This window comes from Homo sapiens, chromosome 10, assembly GCF_000001405.40.
Source record: "Homo sapiens chromosome 10, GRCh38.p14 Primary Assembly".
Taxonomy (NCBI): domain Eukaryota; kingdom Metazoa; phylum Chordata; class Mammalia; order Primates; family Hominidae; genus Homo; species Homo sapiens.
In genome coordinates, this window is record NC_000010.11 from 79,446,133 (window position 1) to 79,454,978 (window position 8,846).

Here is an 8,846-nt window from a genome sequence, read left to right on the forward strand (position 1 = left end):
TCTCTCTCTCTTAGACTAGTACTAGTCTCCTGTGTCCGTCGTCCTTGTATGTGGCGCCCTCCGTGTGTGTGTGTGTGTGTGTGTGTGTGTGTATGTCCTTCTCTTTCTCTCACTCTTCTTGTCTCCTTTCTTCTATTTCCGTCTGGTCTGATGTTTCTCCCTGTCTCTCCCGCTCCTCTCTCAGACGCGTGTACACAGACGCACACACTTCTAACTCCCTCCTCTCGCTATCACCATCGGACCCTCCCCCTCCTACTTAATTCCTTCCATCTGCAGAATCACTTTGCGGGCCGGCTGCGCCAAGGGGGGCCCGGGTTCCTGCCCCAGGAAAGACTCCCCGCCCCCTCCCCCCCCCCTTCTCCTATTTCTGCTCTGGGCCCGCCTCGCTTCTCGACCCTCTTCCTCCACCCCGGCTCCAGCCCTAGCCCGCCCCGGTGCCTTGGCGAGTCGCCAGGACACCAGCCTGGGCCGGGGGAGCTCGGGAAAGCGGCTGTCACCCATCTCGCTGGGACAACTCAGCTAGTCCAAGACTGCCTGGAGGGAGCCCCGCCCCCGCCTCCGCCTCCGCCTGACGCCCCAGGAAGCCCCGGGGCCTTCACCGTCTCTTTCTCCGGGTGGTCTTTGCTGCGCCAGCACCGGGGACCTAGCCCAGAGGAACTCACCGCCTGGCTGGGACCGAGTCACCTCTCCCACTTTCAGTCTGGCTCTGGAGCCATTCCGCCCAGCGTTGGAGTGCCAGCTTGGCCACCGTCCAGCGGAATGACCTCTGCATGACGCCTAACCTCTGCGAGCAAGCCTGTTTTCTCCTCTGTAAAATGGGAGCAGTCATCCTCCCGCCGCCGGGGACATTTGTGTGCTTCCCAGCTTGGGTTTGGTAAGCGGAAGATATTCCATAAAGGACAGCTCTTCCCCGCCACCCACTCCACGAGTTACTCACATCACCTGCAGGGCACCTAACCACATCTATGGTCGCTCGCACCACGAAGGCCTTCAGTGATGACCAAATGCCACCCTTTTTCACCAACCAAGAGGCCCTTGGATCTCAGATCTCCATCTTGTCTATCAATTTGCAGTTATTAATACAAACGACAGCATATGTATCAATCATGTCTTCATATTTTCATTCATCAAGAACACATCTATACAGTACCCTTTATATTTTTAAACAGTATTAAACCTATTTGTTTAAAGAGTAGGTACACGGTTCTTGCAAATGGCTCACCTGTAATCCCAGCACTTTGGGAGGCCAAGGCAGACAGACTGCTTGAGCCCAGGAGTTCCAGACAAGCCCTGGAAACATGGCAAAACCTCATCTCTACAAAAAAATGCAAAAATTAGCCGGGCGTAGTGGCGCATGCCTGTGGTCCCAGTTACTCAGGAGGCTGAGGTGGAAGGATCACTTGAGCCCAGGAGGTGGAAGCTGCAGTGAGTCGAGATCATGCCACTGCACTCCAGCCTGGGCAACAGAGTGAAACTTTGTACCCCCCGCCCCCACACCAAAAGAAATAGTTGGGATTATCTCTGGAACTCTGCTGCTGTCTTTGAGCTTCCAAGGATGGAGGTAGGATTTGGAACCACTGATAAGACCTTCCCTAGATTTTATAGAGAAAACTGCTGTTCAGGGAGGGGACATAACTAGGAATCTGACACCTGCTTAGAGAAACCTCTGATCCTTCCCTGTGTCCTTCAGAGTGATTTGATGCCAAGAAGGTGTTTATCATGCCTGGTGACCACATTGATGGCCTCTGCCTCTTTCTCCCCAACATAGTTTCTACCCAGAGCCTGGAGCATAGATAGTAAATAATCAGGAAATAGTTGCTGGGTTGATGATTGAATGAATAGGTGGAGAGACGCATGGATGCCCAGATTTTGCTCCTCTTTGAAGCCTGAGCGGCTTCTTTGGTTTTGTACTTTTCTCCCTCTCCTTGCCCACAGGACAGCTGCTCAACATGTGGGCTCTGTACCCAGTAGGTGACTAATAAATATGAGCATCCTATAGGCAGTTTGCCTGGATGGCAACTGATTGACCTAAGGTCAGCCCTCAGCCAGCTGCTGGGAATGCATGCTCCAGGATCCCCTGAAACAACATGTACGGTGGGAGAGGGTAATAGGTGAGAGTGACCAGATGGGTATCAGAGGCCTAGGTACCAGGCCAGAAGACCGGGCCACGCCCAAACTCTGCACCTTCTTGCCCTATCATGTGCACACTAAGGAACTCTGCATTTAAAATGTCAGAGGTTCCAAGCCCTCACTTTACAAAGGAGGAGGTACCATGGCCCAGAGAAGGAAAAGAACCATCCCAGGGTCTCTCAGTAAACCTGATAGCTAAGCCACCTGCTCCTAACCCACTACTACCTCCCAGCTCTCTCTTCATTGATCCCAGTGTGGCAGCATTCAGGTGTGGCAGCTCTGGCCCCATATACTGTCCTCAGACTGGAAGGCAGGAGGGAGCACCCAGGTGAGGCTCACATCCCTGTCCCCTTCCCTGTCCAGTGGCTCCAGCCATCCCACAGTCTCCAGAATGGGTCAGTGGAATGAACACAAGATTTGGAGGAAAGACCTGGCCCAGTGACCTTGGGTAGGCCTGCCCTCTCTGTAAACCTCAGTTTTTCCAGGTATCAGATGGGAATGTTGATCCCATCCTTACCAACTTCTACAGTGACTGACAGGATCCAAGGAGGATGCAAAGAGGAAGGAGCTTTGCTGTTCCCTGAGTGAGTAGGCAGTCATGCGTGACGGGAGGGTGATATTGATACTTGCAGTAACAGTAATATTCAATTTATCTGGAGAAATGTGGGCAGGAGGGGACAAGTAGGAAAAAGTCTGCTCCTAAAGTTGCCCAGGTAACAGGTCTGATAAGTGTTTGGTGGAGTATCAAACCAAGAGCCTTGAGCTCAGAGAAGCAGGAGAAACCTGGGCAAGAAGAGGAAGCAGTTGGTCTTTATGAGGGAGTCAGCCTTCAAATTCAGCCCAGGAGGCAAGCAGAGATGAGCAGGGGCAGAAGATGGGGCTTCACAATCCTGTGCAAATTGATGCTTCTCATTTCTGTAAAAAACGCCCCATGGTGATTTATCAGGTGAAGGAACCCCTAACCCTCTTCAAACCACCCACACTCCATGTGTCAGGAATAAATAGCAAAGCACACACTGACAAAGCTAAGATTTGCCTCTCCTTTAGGCCAGGGCTGGGCATTGGGTTCCTTTGGACTGTGTGTTGACACAGAAGGTGTCAGTTTACAGCAGAGATGGCAAAATGGCAAATACTCTCCTTACAGGCACCACTGCCCCATCCCCCACCCAGGACAGACCTCTCTGAGTGCGGATCCCCTTCCCAGGCAAGACTTCAGGTTCCTGCTCAATACAGCACCCCACGTCACCACTAATGAGATGCTGGAATTGGCCCTGAAGACGCAAATTATTTGCCATGTTAACTTTATATCCACCTTCCCAGGCTGCTCTCTAAACCCTATGGTGACTGTGCAGAATTATTAGGTTGGTGCAAAAGTAATTGCTCTTTTTGCCATAGAACCAACCCAGTGAGCTAAAATCCAGGTTTCAAGGCACCTTTACACACACACATACACACACACACACACACACTCTCTCTCTCAAGTCACCTTTACATACACACACACACACACACACACACACAGAGTACCTCCTCCTTCCATGGATGCAGCCCTGCTGTTTACACTAACCAGATTTCAGCCCCAACTAGCCCCCAACTTCTTTGTGCAGTGCACAGATGGCAAAACCATAAGGGCAGTCTGACCACTCCAGGCCCCACCCACAGGCTCTTGAGTAGCCTTTAAGTTTATCTTGAGCAGCAAAGGGTGGGTAGGTCCTTGAATCTTAAACTCAGCCTACCGCTCCTTGCAGGTTCCAAGGTGTGGAAAGTGCCTGGGGCTTTGGAGACTGTCACTTCCTGGGCTGTGTGACACTGACAAGTTGAGTCTCCTCCCCTGGACCATTTCCTAGTGTATAAAATCTTCCCACTGCTGTTGGAATCCCAGATGACACGGGGAGGCAGGAGACACTTTGAGGGCCCTGGCCTCTAGAAGCCCTAAGAGAATGCCTGCTTGGTTTCATGGCTGGACAGTATGACATGGGCATGAGGGGTCCCAGCCTGGGTGTGAGGAGCCTAGGGTTTGTGTGTGGTCTGGGAAAACTGGCAGAACACCCTGGACCTAGAAGTCACTGGAGCAGGCCTAGTGGGCTTCCTGCTCCCTGAGGAACCATCCTCAGAAAAGTGGTGTCTAATGTCATATAGGAGCTACGGGCAGCAATCACATAGTAGCCCCCTCTTATCCATGGGGAATACATTCCAAGACTCCCAGTGGATGCCTGAAATCGCAGGTAGTTCTGAAACACACACACACACACACACACACACACACGTGCGCACACACGCGCACAATGTTTTGTCCTATACATACATACATACCCACGATAAAATTGAAATTATAAATTAGGTACATTAAGAGATTAACAGGTCGGGTGTGGTGGCTCATGCCTGTAATCCCAGCACTTTGGGAGGCTGAGGCAGGAAGATCACTTGAGGCCAGCAGTTCAAGACCAGCCTGGCAACATGGTGAAACCACCCTCTCTACAAAAAGTACAAAAAAGTACAAAAAAGTAGCCAGGCATGGTATTGTGCATCTATAGTCCCAGCTACTCAGAAGGCTGAGGTGGGAGGATCGCTTGAGCCTAGGAGGAGGAGGTTGCAGTGAGTTGAGATTGCCCCACTGTGCTCCAGCCTGGGTGACACAACGAGACTCCATCTAAAAAAAAGTAGTGGCAGAGATTAACAATAATAAAATAGAACAATTAAAATAATATACTGTAATAAAAGTTATGTGAATGTGTTCTCTCTCTCTAAAGGTTTTTTTGTACTGTATCACCCTTCTTATGATGATGATGTGAGATGTTAAAGTGCCTGCTTGATGAGGTGAAGTGAGGTGAGTGATATGGGCATTATGATGTTGCATTAGGCCGCTCTTGACCTTCTGACAACATGTCAGAAGGAGGCTCATCTGCTTCTGGTGATACTAGACCATCGAGCCCTATTGAGGTCAATGACTGGATGTCAGGAGTGGACAATGTTTATAAGCAGGCAGCGTCCACAGCGTGGATCACTGGACAAAGGGATGATTCACGTCCCGGGTGGAACGGTACAAAATTTCATCACGCTACTCAGAATGGCGCGCAATTTCAAATTCCTGAATTGTATATTTCTGGAATTTTCCATTTAATATTTTTGGACTGCAGTTGACTGCAGAGAACTGAAACCATGGAAAGCAAAACTACGGATAAGGGGGAACTACTGTACATTTTATCAGTAGCCTCTTAGCAAACCTCAACCTGCGGAGAGACCCCAGGCCTCCAGGGGTAACTGGTCACTCCACATGATGCCTAGTGGGTCGCAGCCAGTGATCAAAATGTGAGCTTGTCCTCTTGTGGGTGATGAGGAGAATGGCTCTGGAATTTCTATGTATTTAGGTTAGTGGGATATCTGTTTGGGAGATGGGATTAAGACACTCGCTGTAAGTTGAATGTGCAAAGTTCTCTACATTATTCTGAGAAAAGCCTTGCTTACATCAAAGAATAGAAGGAAAGTTGGCTAATGGAGACTTTGGTAGGGCCTGAAACTGCCACTCCAGTCATCCCTTAGCCTTCCTTGCCTACTTGGAATCTTTCCATGGTGGCCCACTGGATGAAATCCAAACACCTACTGGGCAAAACATTCATGGCCTTTCAGCATCTGACTCCTGATCACCCTTCTACCCTAATGGCAAGTACAACCTACCCCCATAACCCTTACACCATGTGTACCCCACCTTCGGCAAAATGAAATAACTGGCCTTTCCCATGCGTGCAAGGCCTTCCTTGCCTCCATGCCTTTGCACTTGCTGTTCCCCTACTGGGAAGAGCCCCTTCTTTTAGTCTTCCTGGCAGTCTCCTCTCACACTTAGAGACCCAGCTGAAAAACTGACTTTCTGAAAGAAGCCTTTTGTGATCACAACCTCCTCCCCCATCACACACACCCATTAGATATTCTCTCTTTTATCTTTGACTATGGGGCGTTCACACGATATGATGACATTTGTAAAATGGTCAGTCCTCCCTTCTCCTCCATTCCCACCAGCACTCACCCCCGGACTATGAGCTTTTTAAGGAGTGATAAGCTCCTTGGCCTAACCCAGTGCTGGATCAGAGCAGGCCCTCTGTTTACTTAAGGAATGAATGAATAAACTCAGAAAGCCTTTGTGGATTGTAGACTCAGAAACAGGAGACTGTCGAATCTGGGCTGGAACATCCCGGAGACTGTGAGGATTACAGACACGCAGGGAGCTCGGGCAGGGAGGGTCGGTGTTCCCTGAGCAGGCAAGTCCTCTTCCCTTCTCACTCAGCTTCCCTTGCAGTGGGGTGGGGGCTGTGCATTCTCAGCAAGAAGGTGAGTAGGAACAGCGTGACTCTTGGGAGTTGGCAAGAGTGGGTGTGGGTTCTCCACGCTTTCTCTCTCCCATCCATGAGGTGAAAGACTCTAAGACAGAAGAGTCCGGATCTCTAAATCAGTGTTGTAGGTGAGCTGACCAGGGTGGTCTCCCAGACTGTGATGTGTACAGCCCCTGAGATGGGGAGGCTTATCTGTTACTGCAGCAGGGCCTGCTCTATCTCAGCTAATAAAGGAGTTCAAAGATGACCTGATCCCAAAACCTAATTTTAGTGATGTGAAAACTGAGGCCTGAAAGGGGAAAGCACATGACTTCTGGTTCTGTGATTTTCAGTTGTCCCCCTGAAAACCAGACAGTGGCACCAGCCAAGTCTGATTCTCAATGCCAGCCTTCTTCTTCCCCCCAGCCCAGGGGCACAGAAGGGAGTTAACCATAATCCTTCTTCATAATATTATGTTTTATTTAATTGTTTGCTTATAGTCCCTGTACAAACCAGCCACCATAAAAATGAGAACCCTGACAATAACTTATATCTACATATGAGATCTATCCCTAGCCCATCTCCTAGGTTCCTCCAACCTGACATAATCACCATCTGGAATCACTCCCTTGCTTTCATATTTATTTAATTGTATCTAATCTGTATGCATTCTAAAAATAGATATTTTTAATTTGTTCTTTAACTTTCTTAAAAGAGTATCATGCTGTATAGAATCTTTATGACTTACTTATTTCACTTAATTTTGTACTGCTATTTTTTTTTTTTTAATTAGAGACAGGATCTTGCCCAGGCTGGAGTGCAGTGGCTATTCACAAGTGCAATCGTAGTGCACTACAGTCTTGGACTCCTGGCCTCAAGCAATCCCACCTGTTTCCTGAGTAGCTGGACTATAGGTATGTACCTCCATACCTGGCCATACTACTAAATTTTAGTCACATTGAGGTATGCCGCTGTAATTCATTCATTGGTTCATTTAGATTTAGATTCCTGTATTCCATCCGTTGTGTGACTCAACCACAGTTTATTCAACTATTCTCCTGTTGATGGTTCTTGCAACTGTGAACACTGCTGCTATGACTCTTCCTGACCTACATTTGCAACAATATCTGTTCAGTGTATGTGCTACATTGTAGAATATATGCATGTTCACCTTTCCAAGATACTACTAATGTTCTCTAGTAATGCATAAGAAATCCTATAGGTTCACACTCTCTGCAACACTTGATCTCCCACTTTTTTATTTTATGAAATGTGTGTGCAGTTGGTTCTTTTGCCATTTTAACAGGTTCCCTGACCTCCCTGGACCTCAGTTTCCAAATCTGCTGATGGAGGATGATGTTTTCAGTGCCTACACAGCTCCCAAAGTGAAGATGATATGGAAACTGGGTGGTGTCGAGGACGGTCACACAGAGCCAAGGAGCAGAAATGCTTGCCCTGCTTCTGCCATGGTCTTCACAGTGAGAGACAGGCAGCTATGCCCCTGAATTCTCCAGGACCTGCCAAGTTGGGCCATTTCAGAGAGGAGAAACTGAGACTCGGAGCTATGTAATCAGCATACTGGAGCATAGAAAGCAGAGACAGGCAGAAGGCAAGAACTCAGAGATGGGAAAGGAATCCTGACCCACCCAGATTGGCAAAGCCATTGCAGACCCATGGTTCTGGGGTTTTCCTGTTGGCTCGCAAAGTGATATCAAGTCAGAGGTATTGTTTTCCCTTGTCTCTGCCATTGATAAGACAGAGAAAAACAGCTCCCATGATAACATTGATGCTGCCAGCCCTTCCTGCTACTGGCTTTCCTGGTTGGAGTCCTCTCCTATGCTCCTTCCTCTCTCTCCTTCCGGACTGAGATTCAAGCCGAGATGCCTTGTGGGGCAAAGGAGCCGGCGGTGAGGTTCCCTCCTTCAGTTGCTTCAGCAGGCACATAGCTCCTTCTGATCTTGGACAAAGCCCAAAAGGCTCTGAGGCAGTGGTGTGCTGGGGCAGGCTCATACTGACTCATTAGAGCCAATTGCTAAATTTCGGGGAATCTTGTAAGCCAATTGTTAAACACAGTCATTATTAAAAATTAGATGATATGAGATTGCAACTAAATAATTTATACTTTTTTAAAAGTAATAAACACTCCTAACTCATCATGTCCTATTTACTTTATTGCATTTTACTGTTAACTATCCTCTGGAGGTAATTTACATATTGTATTTACATGGTGGAAATACCATATACTTGTGTACTATTGTTCATCTTTTCTCAATTTGCACTTGAAACTGGTAGTTTTTATGCCATAGAAATCAGCGAACACTGCAAATCAAGGATGTTTTATTTTTTAGAGAGCTGGTGGTTAAAGATTTACCAAGACACCACTGCTGCAGGTACTTTCCCTGAGATACCACT

The 8,846-nt window shown here is 48.2% G+C and overlaps 1 long non-coding RNA gene across 1 annotated transcript; it reads left to right on the forward strand.

Moving 5' to 3' along the window:
- On the forward strand, nucleotides 109-8,587 carry LOC105378383 (uncharacterized). The gene is made up of 4 exons (XR_946104.4): nucleotides 109-2,714; nucleotides 4,881-4,957; nucleotides 7,228-7,348; nucleotides 7,741-8,587. It is a non-coding gene; the product is annotated as an uncharacterized LOC105378383 (long non-coding RNA).
- The last annotated feature ends 259 nt before the right edge of the window (nucleotides 8,588-8,846 follow it).